The sequence below is a fragment of the Homo sapiens genome, chromosome 4 (genome assembly GCF_000001405.40).
Source record: "Homo sapiens chromosome 4, GRCh38.p14 Primary Assembly".
Lineage (NCBI taxonomy): Eukaryota > Metazoa > Chordata > Mammalia > Primates > Hominidae > Homo > Homo sapiens.
The window spans coordinates 20,415,016-20,442,113 of NC_000004.12; the positions used below are offsets into that span (position 1 = coordinate 20,415,016).

Genomic DNA, 27,098 nt, shown 5'->3' on the forward strand with positions numbered 1-27,098 from the left:
CAGTAATGGTGTTCAGCAGATCTCAAAGATTAATGAATTTTGACTGAATATTTATATAAGTGTGCAGTGGAAGAAGGAAATATTTTGTTTCAGATAATAAAAAGTCTTTATACTGGCTGTGCGCGGTGGCCCGCGCCTGTAATCCCAGCACTTTGGGAGGCCGAGGCGGGCGGATCACGAGGTCAGGAGACAGAGACCATCCTGGCTAACACGGTGAAACCCCGTCTCTACTAAAAATACAAAAAATTAGCTGGGCGTGGTGGCGGGCGCCTGTAGTCCCAGCTACTCAGGAGGCTGAGGCAGGAGAATTGTGTGAAGCCAGGAGGCGGAGCTTGCAGTAAGCCCAGATCGCACCACTGCGCTCCAGCCTGGGTGACAGAGGGAGACTCCGTCTCAAAAAAAAAAAAAAAAAAAAAAAGGCTTTATAAATATTTAGAATGCTGGGAGGTACAGCTTGGAGAAGTGAATATTTAATGTTAAAATGTGTCGTTATTATAATTATAGCAGATATAATTTTGATCACTTAACTAATTTTTTCAATATTACCAAATTTAATTCTTTACATAGGAATAATTACAGAAGCTTTATTAATGGGTTAAGATCCATAAGGCAATTTGTAAATAAACCTATTTGTCTCAAAGTTCCAGGTTGCTTTACTACAGCTTTATTATAGCTATCAATATGTTTTGGCTGAGAGCAGGGTCAGTGCACTCTTTCCAGAGAGCATGAAAGCTTGAACCTTAGTAGTTCATATGTAGAGTGATTCTGTATTCCCATTTTATAGATGAGGAAACTGAAGCTCAAAGAGATTTAACATTTTTAACATAATTTTTGTTATATTATCAAAGATACATAAAATTATGTTCCAGACTGGTAGATTATAAATAGTTTGTGAGCGGGGTCTTTGATTTATTAAATTCTTATCCTCAGTTCCAAGAACATAATAGATACTCAGTTAGTGATGACACAGTATTAGAATCAACCAATTTTACAATATATCCTGGCCATTGTTGAGGCATTTATTTCCTGTACTCTATAGATTTTATGTGTATAAATCTTTGGAAAATGTATCAACATGATATTTGTATATTGAAAATGTCACTCTTGAATGTATTATTGTCATTCTTTCTGGATTCGTCCACTAGGGCTACCATAGCAAAATACCACAGACTGGGAAGCTTCAAGAACAGCATTTATTTTCTCATAGTTCTGGAGGCTGGAAATCCAAGTTCAAGGCACCAGCAGATTTGGTTTGACATCGGGTTCCTGACTTTGGCTTGCAGATGGCTGTCTTCTTGCTGTGTCCTCACATGGCCTTTTCTCTGTGCAAGCACTCTATACCATTCCTATTGGATTAGGGCCACATACTTATTATCTCATTACTTATTATCTCATTTAATGTAGTTACCTCCTTAAAGGTCCTATCACCAAATACATTTACGCTGGAGGTGAGAACTTCAACATATGAATTTTGGGGAGACACAATTTAATCCATAAAACCCTCTTTTGTGTAATGATTCTGAGATACTGAGAAAAATGCTCCATTTCAGGTATTTTTAAATGAAAAAAAAAATCGTATCAACTCCTGCCCTTTAACTTTCAAAGTTAAAATTCATGTTAGATGATTATTTGTTTTAAAAGTGCTTACTCTGGTGTGCTTTTTAAAAGACTATAAATCCCATTAATAAAGTCGAACAGAAGCTTGAAAACAATTAAGAAATTTAAGAATGAGCTAAATTGTTCTCACAAAAAGAGGAAAACTACAATTCCTGCTGAACAAGTCTTTCATTCAGTTCTTCATTCAATTCACATTAGCCTCAATTGGAAAAATGTCCCTGTTCAGTTAAACAAGTTAAGCCTGATCTTAAGTGTATCTGACTTGCCTTCTATGTTCTTCCAGCCACAGGAAATTCCTCCATGCCAATTTTTTAAAACTGCTATCAAATCTTTTTTTTTTTTTTTTCACTCAAGTGCGACACATTTAAATGTGACCACAGGAACAAATGGAAAGAGATTGAAGCCTTGACTTGAAATGTGAGCTTTCCTCTTTACTAGTCAGTAAGGTATTGAGAAAGTTACTTGACCTCATCCTTCATTACCTTGTCTCTAGAATTAGGAGATCAGCATGTATGGTGATCATGGAAATTAAATAAAATTATATGTCAGGGCCTATTGCATTTATTGTCTGACTCATCCTAATCCCCTTATTCCTTTCTTAGTGTTTCTTTGTTTGTTGATTTATTTTTGTCCATAGTCTCATGATTTGGAGATAGGGCTCCAGCTTTCTCTGCTAATGTATTTCCTACCCCTCTCTTCCTCTGTCAGTGACTGGAGAACTATCTTCTTCTGACATGCCCAGCTAGCTTCTACTTCAGGACTTTATATGCCTGCTTCCCGCAATCATATATATATGTGTGTGTGTATATATATATATATATATATACGTATATATATGTGTGTGTACATATACGTATATATACATATACATATATAGATATGTGTGTGTGTATATATATATATGTATATATATAGAGTCTTGCTCTGTCACCAGGCTGGAGTGCAGTGGTGCGATCTCAGCTCACTGTAGCCTCTGCCTCCTAAGTTCAAGCTATTCCCCTGCTTCAGCCTCCCGAGTAGCTGGGACTATAGGCGCACCACCACGCCCAGCTAATTTTTTTACTTTTAGTAGAGAAGAGCTTTCACTATGTTGGCCAGGATGGTCTCGATCTCTTGAGCTTGTGATCCGCCCGCCTCAGCCTCCCAAAGTGCTGGGATTACAGCCTGCTTCCCACAATCTTAACCAGTCTTGTCTCATCTTCACATAGCCAACTCCTTCTTATCCCTTTGATGTGTACAAAAATCACTTCTTCTTGTGGCCCTTATAATCACTCACATCCTAAATGGCATATGTGTTCCTACTATGCTCCACTGTAGCCCATAACTATCTTTCACCTTGTTAAATTTTCAGCACTTTCCACTGTATGAAATGATCTTAAGGGGTTGTCCTGTCTCTCCTATAGTAGAGTGTACCACTGGAAGAGGCAGAGACATTTTCTGTCTTAATGTTGGTATGTAGTGGGGTCTGACCATCAATATCAGTTGAATTGGCATGGGAATGGATGACTCTGTACATAGGAGGCCAAACAAATAAAAATTTTAAAACCGCTTATCTGACAGGATCACGCTTTTTTCACTTCGGCTGTTGTTAGTTTTAATTCTCTGAAGTTATACATGGTTAGATAAAATGGTCTATGAAAGTCCTGGGTGGTGATGGGACTAGAGACAAGGATTCAAAATGTATTATAGCAAATTTATGTGTAGAAAAAAACACGTGGTTAATTAAGACTTGCTTTCTGTCATTTTATGAAGGTATCTATGTAAGGTCCTAGTTTTCTCCATTATACATAGCTGAAAGAAACACCAGTAATGAAACGTTTTTGTATTATTCTCACTCCAAAAGCCTAGTTATACTGAGGGCGGCCAATAGATCTACTATGGGATACAATGAATATTTAATTTACTTTGATGAAAAGGTGTCATAAGAGCCTTTGACAACCCACAGTGAAAACTTGAGGATGATTTTATTAACTCAAACCCGATAGCATATGTTGTGCAAACTAAGACATCAAAGACTTTTTAAATTAATACCTGGGAATTTCTTGGGAGAAGTAACTGCATATTAGGATTGAGAACAACTCTAAGTTGTCACATATTGAAATTTGTTTTTAATTACTGAAAAGTCATTTTCTCTTATTTCTGGCTCGGGTAAATAGTAGGAAAAATAACACACACATACACATACACAAATGATATCAAATTAAAAGAGAGAAAACAAATGTGAAAGGATTATGGTGTGAACTGTTTGCTTTCCAGCATATTAACTGTACCCATGAACTCTCATCTCCCGCCCCACAGAAAAAAACTAATTATTGGAATTTTTTAGTGAACAGGAAGGATATCAGAGTACGATACTTTCTGTTTCCCTTAAATGCATACCATTTTCTCTATTTTCATAGTTTACCAGTTTCCCAGTAGATGGCACCATTGTGACTCACAATGTTGCTCCACCTTGTAAGGAAGTATTATACACACTTTCAATTTCAAAACATTTGTAAATAGTGCAGTATAGTAACACTTGCGGTGGTGTCTTAGAACACAAATACTTCTACAGTATCTAGAAGACATGTCAACTGTTGAAAGCCAATAAATGTCACAAGAACCCCCGTAATTCCTTTGTATATGTGTGATTTCATATCTTATAATTTTTATACATTTAAATTATTTTAATAAAAATGTGCTTACATACATGTACACACATATGTGTATGTATGCTTATAAATGTCTAAAACTGTATAATTATTTAATGATTTACTTACTACTCTTACTATTTCTTTCTACCTGGATTAATGTGACAAGCCACTCAGAGAAACTGAAAATTCCCATGGGCTTCTCCAGTTGTTCTTGGGAAAAAGGAGACTAGAACAGTGATTTCAGATCTGGAATACACTGGACTCCAACCTCAGATTTTCTCTTTGCTGCCTGTATTACCTAAAGCAATTGACATAACCTCTCTGATATTCAATTTTCCCACCTTTAAAATGGGGAAGATGGCATATACCTGGCTGTGTTGCTGTTAAGGGTAAGTTTTAAGCTGTGTGTGTGTGTGTGTGTGTGTGTGTGTGTGTGTGTGTGTGTTGCAAAAATAAATACAGTGACTGTTATAGAGTAGAAGTTCAAAAATGGTGGCTGCATTCCGATTACAGCTTGCATTAAAGTTGAATATTAAGAACAGGAGAGATCGATGATGGTGTGTTTTGTAACCTTCACACGGTTTTCTATATCATAGGATGAGTCCTAGCTTTCAGAGATTTCCTTGCGCCTATGTCTACCCTTTCTTTTGGTCCTAGAAAAGGTCACAGATTTAAAGTAAGTCAATGTGGAACATTAACATGGCTCATGCAGGTTCTGTGCAGCTGTCTCTATGGGTTCTTGAAATAAAATAGGGCCAAACCAGGCACTTCAAATGGTAGATTTGAACAATAAATGATAACCACTGTCTCTAATATCCAAATCATTCCCTACTCATCCTTCTTTAGGCTCATAGTTCATTGCACTGTCTTCTTAAATAACTACCCGAACACAACTCCACTTTTCTCACTTCTAATGCGTACATTTTTAGCAATAGGTTTTGGTTAGGGTCTTCTCTGTCCACATACTACAACTGTGAGTACATGACTGACCCACACTTTTAACTTGGTGCTTTTGGATTCAGGCAGATGTTTAGTTCCAAGAAGCCTTTGAGAATCATGTTGTACTTACAGAAGCACTCACTATGCTTCCTTTTCCAAGTGATTAGTCTTTCACTATTAATTCATTCAACAAATATTGATGCAACACTTTGTATGCCAGTTACTATGCAGACACTAAGTTGTGCCCTCATGGTCCTTCAACTTTACCTGAAAATAATATATTTTATTTATTTAACCAATATTAGGTATCAAGTGTTTTACAAACATTGCCTAATTTTATCCTTGTAGAACCCTAGGAACTAGAGGCCATAGATTAAAGATGTGGAAACTAAGACACAGAGAATAAGACATTTACAGAAAAAGAAGTGAAGGAAGGAGGGAAGGAAAAGGAGAGAGAAAGGGAGGGAGAGAAAGAAAAAAGGGAGGAAGAAAGGGAGGAAGAGATTCAAATGTTGACACCCTAACCTCCAATGCAGTGGTATTTAGAGGGGGGTACTTGGGAGGCAATTTGATTTAGATGAGGTAATGGGCCAGGGGCTCTCATGATGGGATCGATGTCTTTATAAGAGGAGACACCAGAGAGCTTGTTCTTTCTGTCTGCTGTGTGAGGATACAGCAAGAAGAAAGCCAGGAAGAAAGCCCTTGCCAGAAACAGATCATGCTGGCACCCTAATCTTGGACTTCTTAGCCTCCAGAACTATGAGAGAATAAATTTCTGTTCTTAAAGCCACCTAGTCTGTGGTATTTTCTGATGGCATCCCTAGCAAGTTAAAACACCATTTTTTGATTTTCTGAAACTGGTACCTGGAGGTAGAATGGAGGGAATTAAAAGAAAAGGTAATTAGTAGTGTCAGCATTTTAGCCCAGATATTAAAATGGGGATGACCTTCAGTTTCCTAAATTTGATGAAGGATTTGGTGAAGGATGAGGGATGTCATTATTGAAAAATATGTATCAGACTTTCGCCTTTTCCAAGAAGTCAGTCACAGCTTTCAGATCCCAGGTATGTTTGAAAGTGACTTTAGTCTGATCTTTTCATGCCACTTAGAATTCCCAGGCTTGCCAGTGGAACATTTTGTAGTAACATTTAAAAATATAAACTTTTCATTTCTTGCCTGCAGTGGAGAGAGCTGATTCACGATGAGTTCCTCTGTCCCTCCCTTCACCATATGTCTCTTCTTCATTGTTGATTTCCTGTTGACATTAAAAGGAGCAACATATGAAGGAGTTAGAAGGAAAGCTTTAAATTTAACGATAAACTTTTTTGAAAGCATGGATCAGATTTTCTTACAAAGCCATTTAAAATGCATTGTAAATCATTTCTTTCATATTTTGTAGAGACTTGTTTTGGAAGTATCGATATTCCCTTCTCCCCAGCCCCCAAAAGATTAAGAAAAATATAAATAGATTTATTTTTACAATGTAATGAGATGAGAGGGATCCTGTGAGCAAGCTGATAAGTCTTGCAATTCACTAACATAGCCCATGAAATCCAGCTCTGATGTCAAGAGGCTCTAAGCATTTTGCAATTCTTAACGGAATGTTTTCTTTGCCTCCCTCCTTCCCTTTCTCCATTTGACAGCACCTGTGCATGTGCATGCAAGATTGCTTTTCAGATCTATGCTTTGGTTTTTTGTTCATTTTTGTCAGAAAAGTCAGCCTATGCTTATTAGGGATCTACAGGAATTGTTTCCACATGGTTCTAATGGATGCATGGACGGAACACCTCCACAACATGTTGCTGTTGGCCTGGTGCTCTGTCACTACCAAGATTTCAGAGTTCATTTCTTGGCTCCTTTTTGTTCTTCCTCGATCCAAGTTCACACTTCATAATACGTTTTAATTGTCATCTCAATGAGATGACTCAAATTTATATATTGATATATCTGTATCACAAAAAAATTGCAAATTGCGTGCATTGTCAATGTGAATTATAGATAGTATGCTATGAAAACAAAAATATTTTCTAATCTGTCTGACTTTTAGTAGAGAAGTCAAGATGAGATCATAATTAATCCAGGCTTGAATTAACATAGCTGGAATAGTTAACATGGGCATAGTCCCTCATCTGTCTTTGGCTATTTGGGGGAAAAGAAATACATGTTAAAGTGAAAATTAGTGGAGGAACTTTTAATTAGTCATACATTTTTACTCAGTTTCATACACAAGAATATTCATTTTGGCCATAGGAAATTGCCACTATTTGATCATTTTGATTGACCAAAAAAAGCTGGCAATTTCAAATGATGCAATACAGGTCACCATCACTGCTTCCAGGAAGCTTACATCCTAATGTTAACAGGTAAATAACGAAATAATTAAGATGGCTTTAGTGTAATGAGAGGCAGTGGGCAGAAGGGGGCATGAGAGGCTCTTTCAGATGGTCTGATCAGGGCAAGTCTCTCTGAGAAGACATTTGCACAGTGGCCTGAATGAGATGGAGCCAGACTGCCATAAAGGTGACTTTACATCTGGGAGATCTGAGGCAGCAACGAGGCAGGATTTTTGAGCAGCAGAAAGGAGGCCAGCATCAATGAAGGAAAGAAGGGTGGAAAATGAGAATGGAAATAGAGGTCGGAGTGAAGTGGATGTGCAGAATACTCAATATCATTCTGATTTTTTTCCCCATGTGGCACTATTAACTTTAGCCACTCTATTTAAAATTGCTTATTGTGGTGGGGGGTGGGAGGAGGTGGTTAGAAAATGTATGTTTAACCTATTCACTTGCCTTTATTTCTTGTTCCTTAAGTTTTTTAATGCTTTCTATGACATCGCTATCCCAATCTCTACTATGCTTGTGTCTTCTGGTTTACCCCCATGTTTCTTTCATGCCTTCTCCCAGAGGAGTGACTCACAGTTTGCATATACTAGACCCAAATTTTTAGACTACAGCCAAAGTAAATCCACGTACAGACATAGGGGAAACACTGAGATTGGGGATGATCTTATTTTGTTTAATTTCTAGAAAACCAAGTTAATTGAGATAAAGGAGGCATATTTAAAAACCAGAAAAGGAGACTTAGGACAATGGAAAGATTTAAATAGATACCCTTAGTGAACATAATTGAAATACTCATTATTTACATTTTCTGCAACATCCCCGAATATTTACCAAAGTAAAGAACTTATTAAAAAGTATACTATAATTTATAATTTCAGGAAATTATAAATTATAATTTATAATTTTAGTGTGACTAAATTAGAATTTGAGAAATACAAAGTTTAACATGTTTACACAAATTTGTCGTTTAGGATTTAAATTATATTTCAAGGTGGAAGAAGAGAGTGCTCCTGATTACAAATGGAGAAGTGGTAGAATTCTCACTGACCACAAGAGGTCTGCCTTTGATTCTCACAATTTCACATGGGACCTTTCTCTTAAACCTTCAGTACTATGATTGGCATTTAAGGGTCAGACAGTAAACATTTGTATACCGAATGACGGAATCAAATATTGAAGGTAGAACTCATAAACATAATGCAAATATAAATGTTATATGTTAAAATTATCTTTATGAGTAAGGAAAATTCTAAGCTTACTCTGTATTTACACCACTAAGAATGGATGATTATGAGTTCATTTAAATGTTTGAGTTTTAAGTGTCACTTTGCATTACATGTGTTTCCTTAAAGGAATGTAATTTTGGCTCATGTGATCAACTTGATATACGAATTTCATATGGTTAAAGAATCTATTGGCAATCTCTCTCTTCATTGGTTTACTTTTAAAGATTGATTCTTCTAGAAAAGGGAATATTTTAGATTGCTTCATAAAATTAGTAAATTAAATGTGTAAATGAAACCATTTGTTCATTGTCATGTTACTCAGAGTTGGCATAGAACATACGTGGAACTAATGTTTTTATTGGCACACTTTTCCATCAACTACTGCCACCTTCCAGGAATGTTAAATTGATCAAGTTAGTACAAACTAACCATAAAACACTTTTATCTGCTTATCAATTTCAAAGCACCTTAACTTCATGAAAATGACAAAGTTTTATTGTTCTCTGACAGGTCTTCTTTCTGAATTAGATTACTTACCCATCATAATACCTATGGAATTCCAGAATAAAATTCTAGTGTAGAAAAAATGTTTAAAGTAATTTGAGAAAATACATCAAGAAGTTCAAATGATTCAAAAAGCCCATGAGTTTTTCCATAAACTTCAAAAATACCAGGCATGTTATAACATCTCATACAATAAAATTTCACATGTATGGGTTTTTCTCAAATACTGTAGTAACCATTTATTCACAGAACATACATGTCATTTTCTATTTGTCGTCTAATTTTTTTAAAATGCTTAGATTTGACAATCAAAATACAGAAATCTAGCATGATTCCATAGAAATCTATTTTCTAGTTGAAATTGTTTTAATGCCAAGTGTGTCACTAAGAAACAAAGTCAATGTGCACATCTGCTTTTGGGCATTTGTATATTTTTATAAACAGTCACAGAAGCATTTGTTAACATTCTGTGAGAGGCCCCCCTGCTTTCAGAGATTTACCAGGTGTTCATTACCTTTTGTTTTCATCTCTATATATCCCTTAGTGGATATTTCTGTATTTATCAATCCACCTCAGTACCGTGGTAACTCAAATTTTAAAGTAACAATGAATGAGACTTTACTAATATCAGATTTGCAAGTCCAAATAAAGTGTGTCTATATATTTTTGGTTTACATATTTATTCTTTCTAAATATTTCAGTTGATTGATAAGGCATAATTTGTCTCATGAAAACCCTTGTCTTTTTCCCAAAGGATGGTGTTTGCTTATTTTCCCTGAACTTTTGGTATGTTTTAAACAGTGTTTGAAGTTTATTATGAGTGCTCATGAAGTTTTAGTTTAGCTGTAGCAATTTCTGGATTGTTTTTGACCTTCAGACTTTGTGGATACAGGCAAACCTTATTTTTTTAATTAATGACTTTGTATTTAAACAATAAGTTTTAATTTTTTCACAAAGTTTTATGCTTTGTCCTATTTTGTTGTATTTTTGCAGAGTTATTGTTACTGTTTTGTTTAAGGTTTTTTAAATGTCATTTTTAAAAAACTCATTGTCCACATTCCAGCCTGGGAGATAGAGCGAGACACTATCAAAAAAATAAATAAATAAACAAATAAAACCATTGTCCATTTCTCCTGAGCTTTCACCAAGTCTTTTTTTCTATAAATACCTTCCAAGTTTCTAATGGCTATTATTTATATGAATGAAATAGTCTCAGAAAAAATAAGTTTATACACGTGTGTGGTGTATATCTACTGTAGAGAACAAGGATCCCGTTTAAAGAAATGTCATATTGATTAGATACAATTTTAACTTGCTGGAAATTACTTTCTAAAAATATTATTTTCCAAATCTTCCTGTCCATAAATCCGTTTGTAAAGGGAAAAGCCACTCTTAATACATAGAAATTCCTTTTAGTGAGTTCAACTTTAAGCCCCTAGGAAATGCTTTAGTCTTTCAAATATCCAAAAAGTTAACAGATTTTATATGAACACTTTACATGAGAAAGTGGTACTTTTGCTGAAAACTTAAAGTAGTAAATGGAGAAAACTCAAGTGTAGCATTATTTCCAGCTGCTGCAGATTCCATGCTTTTTCATATGTCCCTTTCTCTGCCTGCCTCTCCCTCCTATGCCAATCCTTTGTATGACCATGAGTTTTTCAAGACTCTTCTGTGCTATCCCTGACAATTCAGTTTGGGATTTGCTGTCACCTTAGGAGCTTCTCTGTAAACCTGTGATTTTTTTCCTATTAGACTAATGTGTGAATGAGTGTTTTGCTCAGTGCTCCCTTATAGACTGTGAGCTTCTTGAGAACAGGGTTGCTCCTTCTTCACCATTGCATCCTCAGTGTGTAGTGTGGTACCTAACACATGGCAGCTGACTTTGGCTTAACCAACACATGCTTGAATGAAGCAGCTCCAAACCTGGAATGCGGAGGCAGTAGGGAAGGAAAGGATATCACCAGGACTGCTGGCAGATGAGCACAGAGTTGAGTACAACTTTCACTGTGTAGGAGGCAGCATAGAAGGGGAAGATTTATAAATGATGTATACAAAAACAAATTCAAAGCTAGTAAAAGAATGAGTGGAGAGGCTGGGGAATCAGATTCTTTAGAAAATAGGGAGTTTTGTATAAGAAAAGGTGGTAGGGGAAAAACAGTTTTGCAAAATAGTCATATTTCACTAGATTTAGCAGTGTGTTATCCAATCACAGATGACCTGAAAAGATGCACTGTGTAAGATGCTATTAATGAGAAAGGATCTAGAGGTTGACAGGTACGGCCATTTGCATGCTGATGATAACTAAAATTGTAAGGAACACATATTTAGAGTAGCTTTAGGTTTTGGAAATTGATTGAAGAGGGACAGAAAAAGAAGGAGAACCTTAAACCGTAACTTAAGAAATGAGAGCTGGGATCTACAGAGCAGGAAATGATACTTGGCTGAAAAGCTACAGATGCATAATAAAAAGATTACCTGTTATTTGATAATGATGATAAAAAAATACAATGATAAGTAGTGCATATGGGCTGGGCTTATATTCTTTCATTTAAACCCCAAAACAACTGTCTGGGGAAGATTTCATTGTTTTTCCCAGAGAAATAACAGTTACAGAGAGGCAGGTAAATTGCCCAGGGTCTCAGAACTGGTAAATTTAAGAGTTAGGAGTAGAGTCCAGGTAGAGGCACTCCAGGATCTGAATCTTACCTGCCCTCTATAGTCTAAGCTTTAACCAAACACTATGTAACATTTATGGTATAGCTGTCCTGAGCTTAAGAAGTATGTTTATCTCATTTGATCCTTAGAAAATCTGCAAGATAAGCAGACTTCAATCCTCAATTGAAAGGCAAAGACAGGCTTAAAGAAAACAGAGATTTTCCCTGAGAATCCACAGCCTGTAAATGGTTGTGATCCGGCCTGAACCAATAGCTTTTAGTTTTAATAACATCACAGGTTCTGTGAAACCATGCTACTTCCTTAGATGGTGCTCCTTCAGGAAAAGGATATCAATGTTGGTATTTTTATATAAAACATTAAGAGTATGTGTTTCTGTTAATGTACATATACATGTCCTGTAGCCTGTTAGAACCCATTTTTTTCATTTTCAAAGGTCATAGGAAAAATTATATTCTTACACAATAAGTCTGTACATCCACAGAATCAAAGATATTTGGTCAAAAGTTTGTCATTATGGATTCTAAAAGTTGAAAGCATATGGCTGCATTTTAAAAACCTATCTATATGATGTGCTTATGAGTATGGTATTTTGTGTCCAAAGTTAATTAATAACGGCTGCAGGCCAGTGTTCTTGTAGGAGCTCTCATTTTTTCCAACATTGCTGGTGTCTTTGAACAAGTGAAGTGAAGCCATCCAGGGAAAGCTATGAATTTGCATTCTTTTTTTTTTTTTTTTTGAAACCTTTCTAACAATGGCTGATAATCACTACTGTCAATAGTCTTCTAAAAACTTCCCAGTAATGATTAGATACTATGAATAGATTATTGCTTTTTCTCTTCAGGTCTTTTTCCCCCAACTACATATAGAATGTTATTGAAATTCATGTGTCTTAATCAGTTGTTCTCTATGCTTTTTACCATGCCTCTCTTCATTTCTAAGTCTTCTGACCTAAATTACAAACCTGAAGGACTGAGAAGAGAAGAAAACCCATTTTGAGTTCCTACCCTGTGATCCATACTGTGCTAATTACTTCTCACTCATCTCATCCACACTACCACAATGCAAAGTCAGCACGTTCATAATTGTTCACAGCAAAGAGAAAACTGAGGACTAAGTCTCACAGGGAGTAAAAGAAGTAGATTTAAACCCATGTTTGACTCTTAATGTCATGTGTTTGATCTCCGTACTTACAGCTCTTGGATTCAAATTTTAGTATGTGTTTTTAAAGTCCATATTGTAAATGTAACCATGATCAGAAGTAATTACTATTTTGCAGAGCACACACACATGTACACAGAATATCAAACATAAATATACAGAGTAAAAGAAATGCCCGCATGCCTGCCACTCAGGGCGAGATGGAGCCCTGCCATCATGCCACATGAGTCCCCTGGTGCCTTTTCTGTCATACCCGCTCTTGTCTACCTAGGGGAAAATACTATCTTGACTCATGGTAGTCACTTACTTGCTTTTCTTTTCCTCAAAATGTGTTTTGAGGTTTTTTGTTATTGTGAACTAAGAAAACGTAGTTGTATTTGTGTGAGGGGAATTGATACTCAATAGGAAGATATGCCGAGATATACTTATTATATATTGTTTGCTGTTCTCACACTAAAAAGGTTGGGTTCTATAATTTGGACTCAAAAGACCATTTCTAGGCCTTTGAGTGCCCCTAAGTGGCCATAATAGAAAATACAGTATTTTACAACTCTTGGATGATCTCTCCTTCCATCTAACAGCTAGACTTTCCACTGGGTTCCTGGCCTGACTTCTGTAGTATTCTGCATCGTTTTTTCCATTAAACAAGGGCTTCCAGGACTATAATTTGACTCTGCTAATGGAAGGGCATTTGTACAGTATTAATTTTAAATGGGAAATTGCTGACACGTTAAAGTGGCATCTGTCCTGCTCCCCACTTGAACTCCGCTTTAGCCCTGGTCACTGCAGTTGTCAGTATCAATTGGGGATTAGGAGGGCCTGTGGCCTGAGAGCTGCTGGCCAGCAAATGACATCACTTTTCCTCCATACTCACAGAGCTTTGTGTCTTAGGAAGTAAGTCCATTTGCTGTGGTTTTGTTATGAGCTGTCACGTCCTCTATGGCACAGATGGACGTTTCGACTTTGACTTTCTTTTGAAGCTGCTTCATGGGGATCAGGCTGCCTCTTAAACACATGAAGTTTGTGGACATATCCTGGGCACACAGAGGTGCTTTTCAAAATAGACGGAAAGTAATTTAATATCATTAAAAGACTTGTTCTCGGTGCGAGTTTATCGGTTCCTCTGCTTGATTCATAATCAAGGCAGAAATTATTTTTTTCATATGTTTCAATGAAGTTTCCTATGCAATCCCAATTTTTGTAAATGTTAAAATGTGGATTATAATTTAAGTCCTTATTCTATATTTGGAAAGACACTGTCTTTTCTAACGGTAAATTTAGTTCATTCACATTTCCAGCAAATATTTATGGAAGACCCTATTCTATTTCACAGTTATTGACATAAATGAAGCAACAAGTTTTCTGTCTTCTTGGCTCTTAACATTTGATGATGGAGAACCTGGAAGTAATGATTACGTACACAAATAAATTTTTAAGAGGCAAATGAGATCATTTCAGATAACAGGAAGTAACAGGAAGTAAATAAAAGAGGGTCATGGGATGGAGTGGGAAAAGGGGAGAGCTATTTCAGATGGGAGGATCAGAGACAGCCTCTTTGAGAATTGAGTATTTCAGCTGAGTCCCAAATGCAGAGAAGGAACAAAGAATCAACTGCATTTGAGAGAGAGAAATCAGGAAATGGAAAATCCCTGTGCCATAAATTTATATTGTTGTATCTGAGTAACAGAAATAGCAGTGAGTGAAGAAGAGGGTAGCAAGAAATGAAGCTGGAGGGTGAAGAGGAACCAGGTCTACTCGATCTCTTTAGGCCATGCTTGGATTTCATCTGCTGGCAGAGGACATCAGTGGAGAGTATTAAAATCAATCTATGATGTTCTAAATAAATAAGGATAACAAATTATATTTTCATTTAGTGCTTTTTAATAAAAACTAAAATTAAGCTAACCAGGAAAAGTTTATATGAGTTTTTTTACAATTGTATAGAACATAAGATGTTGGCTGTATCATACTGAAAAAAACACAGACTAAGCAGTCCAGGAAGTACATTGTAAGAATTACTATTTTTAGATTAGTATACATGTTTTAAAAATTCTTTTTTTCTTATTGCTTTTCACATGTTCCGTGTTGTCATATATTACAGTAATAATTTTCAGATTTAGGGTATATCTTACAAGCTAGACCATTGGAGTTGCAGGCTCATGCTTAGCTATGTGAATTTGGTCCTAACATAATTACTTGCTATTATGCCCTTGACTTTCTTGAGGGATATTCTAAGATGCTGCTGGGACATTTACTCTTGTATTTATGTAGAAATGTTTTTGAAGACATTATGCACTGTTTTCTCATGTGGCCTCTCAGGCAGATGCACTCTCTACTGCAGCGTCAGGGAAAAAAATGTGTTTTTCCTGGATAGCTGGTATGTTTTAATATCAAAGACAGAACATGTTTTCTCTTTGCCAAGAACACAACTAAATTTATAGTTCACCTCTTACTTGGGACAAGGCTTACTGTGAATGAATAACCCTTAACCTTCACCACAAGTTACTTACCTATTTATTTATGTATCCTGTTGTATAAAACACATTTCCTTAAACTACCTAGAATCATTTCTGCATCCAATAACACATTGTATAAATACCATACAACTTGCTCATCCTCCCGCCCATGGGGCCTCGTATTCTCATTACAGTTTACTGCTAACAATGACATCACACTTTCTATAGGCCTTTGCCTTCCTTAAAGCAGCAGGCCATGTGTATCCCAGGAGTGATACACACTTCCTTTTTACCACAGGCTCTACATTGAGATCCATATCTACATGTATACCATCGACACACACGCTTGACACTCACTAACTCTTTCCTGTATGCCAAGTAACTGTCCAGAAGAAACCCAACTTTCTGTGTCTTAACAGACTGTTTGGTTGCTAAAGATGGCGACAGATCAAAATAGAAGCACTTAGTATTTGAACCGTGTTACGTTGGCAGCCTGAGATCCGATCTAAGGAATCTACACTTTCCTCATGTTTGTAATATTTTTCTCAGGCCCCAGAAATAATGTTAATGAATGGGTTTTCCTCTAACTCATATCGTATCTTCTTCAAGGTCGTTTCTAAAACAATACTTTCTTTTACTATCAGAAACAAATAATGCAATAAGGAGACACTTTTACTAATGGAAAAAAGTTGACTTTACATGTCAAGAACATAGACTTTTTTGGAAGGGGATGGAGTAGGAAGGCAAGGTAGACTAGGAAAATTAGATGCTAGGAGGTAACAGTGTGCCTCTATATTTAAAGTAAATATTTGTGTTTTATTTTTATTTTTATTTTTATTTTTTTTAAAGACAGAGCAGCTATCCCCAGAGCAGCCTGCCTGGCAAAAGCAGGAATGGAAGGGCTGAACGCATCTTTTATGGAAGTCAGATAAATTTCATGCTCTTTAACATCGACTCTGACTGCAGGCCTTTCGCTGCAGTCTGGCTCCTTCCCCAGTGGGAACAAAAAAGGAAAAGTGATTAAAGTTCCCTCAGTAATAGACAGCAGGAGGCAGTGGTCTTGGCATCTTCTACAGAGACAGAGAGAGAGTGCTTTAACAAGACTTGCGAGAGTTCTTTGAAGAAAAGAAGTTAAGACTGGAAGGGCTGGTCGAGGTCCGCTGTAACATTTGTTCATTTCCTCTACTTCATATAGCTTATTTGACTTCTTGGAATAGCGTCACCCTCTTCGTTAAAATGTCCCTGATAAAAGGAGGAAAGTGAAGTTGAGCTCCTGGCCGGGGCCAGGGTTCAGCATGTTCTACTGTGAGTAGGAGTGTTTGGAACTTGATTATTGTAAGACATTCCAACTGATACAAATGATAACTAAATCTCTCTCTCTCTCTTTCTCTTTCTCTGTGTGTGTTTGTGTGTGTGTGTGTAAATCTCTCACTCTCTGTGTGTGTGTGTGCTTGTGTGTGTGAGAGAGAGAGAGACAGACAGACACACAAAATGTGAATGAATGAAGGAAGGAAGGAAGGAAGGAATACAGGAGAGAAATTTTTCTGTATGTTAGGTGGCTGCGATTTTGGCTGGCCAAAACTGCCTTTTGCCTTCGGTGAACTGGCTAGAGCTGCTCACTACAACCCCTCCCCATCCCCTAGGACAAAACCACTGGACCTTTCTCTCTTTTTGTCTCTCTCTTTAAAAAGACAGAAAGGAAAATAAGGTTTGCAATCAGTATTCAGACATTCTTATGACTAATAGGATTAGGGGCGTTACGAAGGGATTTGAACAAGATAATTAGTTTACTGCTTAGTCCACAGTGAAGCAAGAAAAATACTTCTGAGAAAAGGCAGACAAAATAGGTCAGAAAATGTGTGGGAAATGAGGTAAGACCTCTCAACAAGGACCACGATCAACTGGAATATTATGAAAGGACTCCTGAGCCTTCATTCATAGCTGCAGACTGTCTGCCTTTTTTTTTTTTTTTTTAATACTTGGCCACCAGAGGTGTGAAGCAAAGTGACTTACTTAATTTTAGAGTTAATAGGTGTTGTTCCTGGACCCTGAGTATCCTGTTCCAAGTGCATAAATGCTGCCTTCAAAGTATTTCTCACAACGTGATGTAAGGGGAATGTTTTGGAAAATCTGAAGAGCTCTTATCGGGCATTTTACAAGCTGGAAAAAATTATACAATTAGGAGAACTCTTTAAAAACTAAAATTTTCTTGAATAGATTCATTACTTTAATTGCAAAAATAAATCTTGAAAACATAAATGTGAGGGGTGTGTTCTTTGCTTAATTAAAGTACTTAAGTGTTTGTGCTCTAATTTGCACAGTTTTCACTGCGGTAGAATATGCTTAAGAAGAATCATTTGAATTTTAAAAATTCACAAAGATGATATTTTTTTCCTTCATAGCCACATTACATTCTCACACTTCCTCCTCCACTTCCTAAAAGCTAGTGCTGTCAACTGTACTGTTGCTATCTGTGAGTTAAGGTATGCTTCCAAAGGAATGCTAGAAAAAAAAAATACCTTCAAACTCTGTGTATGTGTATACCACATACTTTATTTAGTTAGCTTCTGAATCTTACAGCAACCACCAGCCAGATGAAAGCCACTAGAAGCTGTTAGAATGCCTTTGGCTTGGTATGGGCACTGTGTTGACTTAAGACTGGTAGAGGAAACAGTCGGCATTTCTGCCTAATGAACTACCGAGTGACACAACAGAGGTGGCCTTTCATTATCTATCTGTGGGTGAAAGGTTAACTGACAAGAGAACTTGTTAGACACAAAAGCAATTAAACCCTATAATAACATATTGTTAACATATGACATAATGATTAACTTAAATAAAGAAGCCCAGATACATGTTTTCAGATTCCCGGAGTGTGGTGTGTTTATATTCCTGTCTCCCATTTAGAATGGTAGGCTGCACAGTGTTGGACAAGATACATTGCATATTCTTTTCATGTCACAATAAAACGTCATGTTATTTTCCTTCTGTAAATATACGAAGCTATTTTTTGCCATTGTATCCTGAGACTGTGGTTTAGTTTTAGGAAACAGTTTGAAACTAACCTCTTAAAAAGGGAATAGTAATTCAGGGCCATGTTCTGTTGGTGGGCAAGTTACTCCCTGAACAAAGGTGCCCAACCAGCCAGTGAGTTTTTAACTCTGGTTTTCCCTCTGTTTGCAGAATCATCTTTGCAATTTATCTGCCTCTTCGTAATTAACTCACACATGCTCTATATACTATGGTGGATTTTAAGTTATAGGTACTCATCTTTAATTACTGTGAGTGATACATACGTTTAGAGGGTCAAGTTCCCTAAAAGACTAATTCTGACCCCCCCAAATCTTTCTATTAATAGATGGTTTTAGAAAGATTTTTTTAAAGCTTCACTTAGTGAAGACTCAGGACATAAAATTTGCTTATCTAAAATTTTAATTGAATTAAAAGGTTCTAGACTCCCTTTAGGATAAAGCTTTGTGTCCCATTTGGAGAAATACTAATATGAATAACAGTGTTTCTGATCTCCAGGGAATGGCCGTCATCGGGGGAAGGCAGGTACCGACCCTAAAGGGTATGACACAGCACAGGTTGGGATGCATGCAGGGAGTGGGAAGAAGTGAAATACGAAAATGGGGAAGGAGGCTGGGCGTGGAGGCTCACACCTGTAATCCCAGCACTTTGGGAGGCCAAGGCCAGCAGATCACGTGAGGTCGGGAGTTTGAGACCAGCCTGACCAACATGGAGAACCCTATCTCTACTAAAAATACAAAATTAGCTGGGCGTGGTGGCGCATGCCTGTAATCCCAGCTACTCAGGAGGCTGAGGCAGGAGAATCACTTGAACCCGGGAGGCAGAGGTTGTGGTGAGCCAAGATCGCACCACTGCACCTCCAGCTTGGGCAACAAGAGCGAAACTCTGTCTCAAAAAAAGAAAAAGAAGAAGAAAATGGGGAAGGGATGGCTTTTATAGTGTCTCAGGAAAATTGCACTTCACCATTAAAACAAGAAAAGAGTCTTACGACTACAGGTAGATGAGCAGAAAATGTTGAGGGGTATGGGGACAGTGGAAAGTATTTTCAGTAAATGGTTGGAATGGATCATAGATGGAAACTGGCAAGATATAAGTGGAAACGTAGGTAGATGTTTTAATTGGGGGCTGAACCATAGAGATTTGAAGAAATAAATAGGAACTAGAAAGTCTGTTTAGAAAGCTAATATGGTAGCCCAGGGGAAATGTGATAAGGCCTGACCAAGAGGAGTGATGGTTGAAATGCAAAGAAATGTATGAAAGCAAGGTGCATGTCAAAGTTATCTAAATTCCAAAAATTGAGAACATATGGCATATAGAATTATCTTCCACATATTTGCTTACCACTGTACCATGAGAATATTTCCATATTATTCATTATTTATAGAATTATTAATTTAGTTACTGATGGTACTGAACTACAATCTACATATCCTATCTTCTATTAGTGGACATTTAACTTGTTTTATACATTTATTAAAATAAAAAGTTTTTTTGCTCATAAAAATGTTTGGCAACATTGCTCCTTATTTTCTTGGGCTAAATTCCTGAGATCATTCATTCACTTTTTCACTCATTAGTTGTGAGAAAGTGCTGTATGTGCAACCTTTTGCTAGGGAAAGGATTATAAATGCTCTCTGGAGTGTAGGTGGCTACAATTTCTAGTTGGTATGACAACCAGTGGTCCTTGCACACAGCAGATATTGATTGATCCCCTGCATTCAAGGCACTATCCTTAACTCCACTGGGAGAAAAATTAAAAACATATGGTCTTGGACTTCAAGGAGTTTGCAGTTTAATAAGACAGTACAATTTAATAATAAAATGAGTATGGCTAAGAGAATACATGCTTAAGGCTTTTGAGATTAGTGTTAAAAAAACTGTAATTAAATGAGTGTAGTTCAAAGGATAGTGCTGTAAGATTTTAGAGAAGGGACTAAACATCATGGACTGGAGTGGTTGAGAAGGGCCACATTGAATTGGCTCTGGAAAAAACAGACATGCCTTCATTTAGTACAGGACAGGAAATTTCGTTTAGTGCAGGCGAAGGAAATTTCATATGAAAAGAACATGAATAAAATCTTAAGAAATTTTCCTAGAAAGTTTTTATTTGAAGAATAACAGGGTGTTGACTCTAGCTAGATCAGAGCATTCCAAATGAAGTCATAGGTGTAAGCAAATAGGTAAAAATGGATTGTGGCATGCCTAGAAGGTCAGGCTAAATGTTAACTTTATCCTGTCATGAAAAGTCGACCAATGTAGATATTGTGCAGATAAATTTAACTTGCATTTGTGGGATGACTAGGAGTACATGTGAGGATTTATAAAGGTCTGAATTATAGAGTGAATTAAAGAGTTGAATACAAGATAGTTTTTGAATGAGTGAGTGAATGAGCTGATGTTTACTGAGTGCCTGCCTTGTACCAGGCTATGTGCCATGCTTCTTACAAAGTATAATGCACTCAGTTGAACTTAGTCAATTTTGTTACCTTGGAATCTTCTTGAATTTGGTAAACATCCAAAAGACAAAAGTCCAGATGTTGTAAGACTTCAGTTAAGTAGATTATCAGAAACAATTATTTTCCAGAGTAAAGGATTAAGAATCAAAATAATAAGATTACTCTCCTTGCACAAAATCTGCAGTAACTTCCCCCAAAGTCACACTACCTCTTTAAACATACAATCTAAGTAAAAACTATATGCTTGTTAGGCAAACAGTGCTTCAGTACATGTACCTAGCCTGCTTCCTTCTACCGTATTTCCATGGCTAGGCCTCTAATGTATAGAAAATCTGGAGTCATCCCAGGTGAGGGCCACCAGGCCATGTGTTTTCCGGAATTTCCTAGATTTGAGGATGCTCTAAATTTTAAGACCACTGTAATATGAAATCTGTAAGCATCAAAACTTATTACCCAGAGTGGCTTGCTTACTGGAAAATGTTGCACTTTTTAGGGTATTTGTCTTCGATTTTATCAACATAAAACATCAAATTAATTCAAATCACGTATTTAGATTGAGGTCTACAAACTGTAACCTAAAGTGAAATCCAGCCTTTTTCCTGGATTTGTAAATAAAGTTAAATTGGAACACAGCAACAGTAATTTCTTCATGAGTAGTTGATGACTGCTTTCAAGGTACAACCATGAAGCGGAGAAATTGCTACAAAAATATGGCCTGCAAAGCCTAGCATATTTACTGTCTGGCCCTTTTCAGAAAAACTTTGCTGACCTTTGATTTAGGGGCAAGATAATTTTGTTGCACTCTTTTGGTCATGATCAATAATACTTAAATTGATGAGTAACAGCCTCCTTTGTAAAACTAGGCAAAGTCCAAAAATTAGAGGGAATGGAAAATGCAAACTATTCAATCACCACAGAGTTAGTTACAAGGATTAATGAGATAACATATGTAAAACATTTAGAAAATTGCTTGGAATGCAGTAAGCACTTAATAAATGTAAGCATTTTGTCTCATTCACTTAGTGATCTCATATAATTTCTTGATTTTTAATTCTGTAATGACTCCCAAATTTATCTTTAGTCAGGACCTGCTCTCTAAAATCCAGACTCATATACCATTGCCTCCCCCGCATCTCCATTTGGATGTCTGCTCGGCAGAATCTCCATCTTAACATGTGCAAAACTGAATTTCTGGTGCCATCTCCCAAGCTGGCTTCTCCTGCAAATTTCCTTCTCATGAATGTCATCCTCTCCTTGTTGAAGGCAAAAAACTAGGAGTCAGGTCAGATGCAGTGGCTCACACCTGTATTCTTAACACTTTAGGAGGCCAAGGCCTGAGGATCACTTGAGCCCAGGAGTTTGAGACCAGCCTGGGCAACATAGGGAGACCCTGTCTCTACAAAAAAATTAAAAATTATCTGTGTGTCGATGTGTGCCTCTGGGGTCCCAGCACCCAGAGAAGCTGGGGTGGGAGGATCACCTAAGCCAGGAAGGTAGAGGCTGCAGTGAGCCATGATCACAGCACTGCATCCCAGCCTGGGTGACAGAGTGAGACCTTATCTTATAAAAACCCAAAACAGGCCGAGCGTGGTGGCTCATGCCTGTAATCCCAGCACTTTGGGATGCTGAGGCGGGCGGATCACGAGGTCAGGAGATCGAGACTATCCTGGCTAACATGGTGAAACCCTGTCTCTACTGAAAAATACAAAAAAAATTAGCTGGGCATGGTGGCGGGCACCTGTAGTCCCAGCTACTTGGGAGGTTGAGGCAGGAGAATGGCGTGAACCCAAGAGGCAGAGCTTGCAGTGAGCTGAGATCACGCCACTGCACTCCAGCCTGGGTGACAGAGCGAGACTCCGTCTCAAAAAAAAAAAAAAAAAAAAAAGTAAAAACTAAGAGTTATCCTTGACTCCCCTCTTTACCTCATACCCCATGCCCAATTCTGAAGCTAGTCCTGAATACTCTACATTCACAATATATCCAGAATCATTTCTCAACATCTCCATTGCCTGATTCAAGCTACCTACAGCACTCACCCCGTTTCTGGAATACTCTCTTTTCTGGTCTTTCTACTTCCAATTTACCTCCCTTCTTATGATTCTCCAAACAGTATCCAGGGTGATCCTGTTTAAAACATAAGTTAGACCATGTTACCACTCTGCTCATAACTTTGCAGTTGCCTCTGTATTAGTCCATTTTCATGGTGTTGATAAAGACATATCCAACACTGGGCAATTTACACAAGAAAGGTTTATTGGACTTACAGTTCCACATGGCTGGGGAGGCCTCACAATCATGGCAGAAGGCAAGGAGGAGTAAGTCACATCTTACGTGAATGGCCACAGGCAAAGAGAGAGTTTGTGTGGCGAAATTCCCATTTTTAAAACCATCAGATCTCGTGAGACCCATTCACAATCATGAAAACAGTACAGGAAAGACCCACTCCCATGATTCAATCATCTCCCACTGGTTCCCTCCCATAACACATGGGAATTATGGGAGCTACAAGATGAGATTTGGGTGGGGACACAGAGCCAAACCATATCAGCCTTCAAGCAGCCTACTGGCTCCCACACCAGCCCTTACCTTGATCTTGGCTCCCACAGTCTCCCTGAATTCCCCCTCTGATTTCATTTCCTGCTGTTAACTCTCTGATCTCTCTGTTCAACAACACTTGCCCCCTTTCTGTTATCACAACATGTCAGGAATATTTCCACCCTGGGGCCTTTGCACTGGCCATTCGTTCTGTCTAGAATATTCTTCCCTATGCAATGTGCTACCTACTTAATGCGGTTTATGTGTCATTTTCCAGATGTCATCACTGCTGACAAGTCTATATAAAATTATATTCCTTCAACCCCTTATTTTATATTCACCTTCCCTGTGTTTCTCTCCATAGTTTCTTATTGTCTGACATACTATATTGTTTACTTATCTGCTGTTGTCTCTCTTCTCTCATTAGAATGTTAGCTCTGTAAGGGCAAGTCTTAACAGCTATTTCCCCAAAAAATAGAGCAGGGCGTTGCACATGAAATGTACTTAATAAATATTTCTTGGATGAGTTATTATTTCCTTTGTCATTTTCAGGAAGCTTTAATTGAACATTTACTATGTTTTAAACACAGTTCCGAGGTATTAATTATATCTTACATGTAAGACACATAGAGGTGAAATGCCTTGGTCTAGGCCATTGTATTACTTTGCTAGACGTTCCATAACAAAGCACAATAAGCTTTGTAACTTAAACAAAAGAAATTTATTGTCTCACAGTTCTGGAGTCTGAAGTCCAAGATCAAGGTGTCCACAGGGTTGTCTCCTTCTGAGGGCTTGGAGGAGGACTCTGTCCTATGCCTCTCTCTTAGCTGCTGGTGGTTTGCCAGCAATCTGTGGTCTTCCTTGGCTCATAGAAAAATAATTTCAATTTCTGCCTTCATCTTCATGTGATGTTCTGTCTGTGGTATCTGGCTCTGTGTCCGAATTATCCCATTTTATAAGGACACCGATAATATCGGATTAAGGCCCACCCTAATGACCTTGTTTTGACTTGATTACTTCTGCAAAGACCCATTTAAATAAGGAGATACGGGGAGAGCAAGTCAAGTGATGTGAATTGGGAGGTGTGAGGGGAGCACAATTCCATTTATCATAGCCATTGACTTCATTAATGGTAGGCCTTTGATTCAAACTTGGATTCTAAAACTCACAATCTACTAATATCTGAACCCGTACAAAGATTTAGTAATATGTATTAAGTGCCTGCTTTGTGCTGTGAACTCCGTTAAGAACCATAGATAAATAGAGTTCAGCTCCTGCCCTTGAGGAACTCACCACATAGCAGGAGAAAAAGACATCATAGAGTTAAGACCTATTGACTTAAAAGCACACAGAAAGCAGATCACTTGCCATTTTTAATTATATAAAGTTTTCCATCTATTAGGTTTATTTTGCCAAAGCCTTCTAATGAAATAGTTACACCATTTAATTTAAATTTCAGTGGGGTTGCCAGAAGTGCAATTAATTGTTAAAAGTTCCAACTATGAAATTTTGCTTTGGAAAGCAGTCTGCCGTATCTTTATATACCATTAAATTTGATCATATGCTTGTCATTCTGGCAGAACATCTTGATATACTTGAAGAAACATAGTTAGGGGAAATAAAAAAAAAATTGTTGGTACTACACTGTAGGGTTTCCAAATACAAATGTTAGCATGATTGGGTTATACCAATTCATCATTACGTTGCATTTCCCTGGAGTTGAAACTACATCTGGGCTTGGCAGGGATGCATTATCACCAGTCAGAGTGGGGACCATGTGTCAGTCTCTCAAAGAAGATATATGGTCTTGTGTACCATTAGGATTGGATATGCTTATGTTGCAGACTTTAAATCAACTTCTGAATCCTTTCTACAGATGTTGACTGCTGCAGGTCTGTAAATAGCACAGTATATTCTGAACTTCAGCTGATATATACGGCCCTAAAAAAAAAGCAACACTGAGATACACGGCAATAGAAAACAACGCAATGAATAAAAATGGGACAGCTCCAAATTTGCTGAAATAATCTCATCTGTTTAATGACATTGTTTAAACAAAATTACCTCTGAATTTGAAGTTGCCATTTTCTCAGATCAGTGTGGAATTGTAGTAATTTTAAAATTCTAGAAGTTTCTTTTGTAACCTTTATTATTTGATATGTATTGGATTTATTTGTAAGATGTCAATAGATTCCATTTCTTAAATATCCAACTAGAAAGCATTTAATTGTTCTTTTAACATTTGCGAGTGTGGTGGGCATAATTTTTAAGAGACTCACCTATTGAGGAGTCATCGTACCCAAACACTGATGACCAGGCCTTTACAAAGCATTTTGGCCTTTATTTACATTCTGGGTACAAGATTTTTCACTGCAATTAAAACTATAACCCCAACTTCACTGAATTATCTTTCTGTTACCAAGACTTTTTATTCAGAGCCACAACGGGATTAAATGAAAATGACCGAAGCCTCCAAAAAAAAAAAAAATTCCTTCATAAACAGCAAACTTTTAACTAATACACAATGTGCTTTTAATACTGACTTTAAATCCTCCCTCAACCAGGAACTCGTGAAAACATGTGGTCAGTGTGGCAAAAGGGAACTGCTGGGTCCTGATTTAGTTGACATTCTCTTTTTTTACAACCTGGATTTTATATCATTCACTGATGCCTTTCTTTAAGCTCATACATTTCGTGCTTGTGGCACAGGATACTGTTTTCTTAACATCAAATCTTTATGGCACTGGCAAAAAATTTTCAATCTCCTACTTAAATTTGGTTCAACTACACAGTTTCACTATAGCCAACAGTTTGTCTGGATAAGCTTGCTTGCCCCCAGTGTGGATTTGCTGCAAAATAATGACTGCATTAAGCTGAGGAACGTGTTCCCTCATCCAATCTCTCTCTCTCTCTCTCGCCCCCCCCCACTTCTGTCTCTCTCTCTCTCTCTCTCTCTCTCTCTGTCTCTACCCAGCCATCCCAGATCCAACCCGCACTTGCAAAAATACATACATACACACAGTATGCAAACACATACCCATAGTCAGCACCCTTTCTGTCTTTCTGAGTTAAGGCTGTGATGGCCCTTGGGGTTTGCTCGGAAACAGTCACTTCCAAGATCCAGAAAGGCTTTGTAAACATGGGTCCTACCTGCACACAAGTCAGACTGTGATCATTCCCTTGTAGATTATCAAACATTCCATCTACTATACAGCAGCCCAGAACTTTATACTTTAACCATTTTATTCTCACTCTATGAGGTCTATAAAGTATTTTTACTGGGGAAAAAACATTATCTATGTAATTATCATGACCTATGCAAAATTTAGCCTAATAAGAGAGCCCAACACATATTTTTTTAAAGTAATTTTAATAAAACAAGAATATGGTAGCTACAATAAAAAACATTTAATCAAGGTATGAATAGATTGCTGTGTGAGAACAGAAAGAAAAATATAAATGTTATAGTTGGGGGTAGGAGAGGAAAAAGGTTGGGGAAAGGCAAACTGGGTTCAAATGAGATCTTG

At 37.3% G+C, this 27,098-nt stretch overlaps 1 protein-coding gene across 7 annotated transcripts in view, besides 3 other annotated features; it reads left to right on the top strand.

Annotated features, from left to right (window-relative positions):
* Nucleotides 1–27,098, top strand: part of SLIT2 (slit guidance ligand 2) — a 368,657-nt gene that overhangs the window by 163,111 nt on the left and 178,448 nt on the right. The window lies entirely within an intron of this gene.
* Nucleotides 3,920–3,989: an enhancer, noted in NCBI's record as "active region_21362". NCBI's record gives its function as "activates an Ori minimal core promoter by ATAC-STARR-seq in GM12878 lymphoblastoid cells {active_cell/tissue: GM12878}" and the evidence as "EXISTENCE:reporter gene assay evidence [ECO:0000049][PMID:35858748]".
* Nucleotides 4,110–4,159: an enhancer, noted in NCBI's record as "active region_21363". NCBI's record gives its function as "activates an Ori minimal core promoter by ATAC-STARR-seq in GM12878 lymphoblastoid cells {active_cell/tissue: GM12878}" and the evidence as "EXISTENCE:reporter gene assay evidence [ECO:0000049][PMID:35858748]".
* Nucleotides 25,191–25,485: a silencer, noted in NCBI's record as "tiled region #13128; HepG2 Repressive non-DNase unmatched - State 24:Quies, and K562 Repressive DNase matched - State 9:DNaseU". NCBI's record gives its function as "represses a minimal TATA promoter and a strong SV40 promoter by Sharpr-MPRA in HepG2 and K562 cells {active_cell/tissue: HepG2 | K562}" and the evidence as "EXISTENCE:reporter gene assay evidence [ECO:0000049][PMID:27701403]".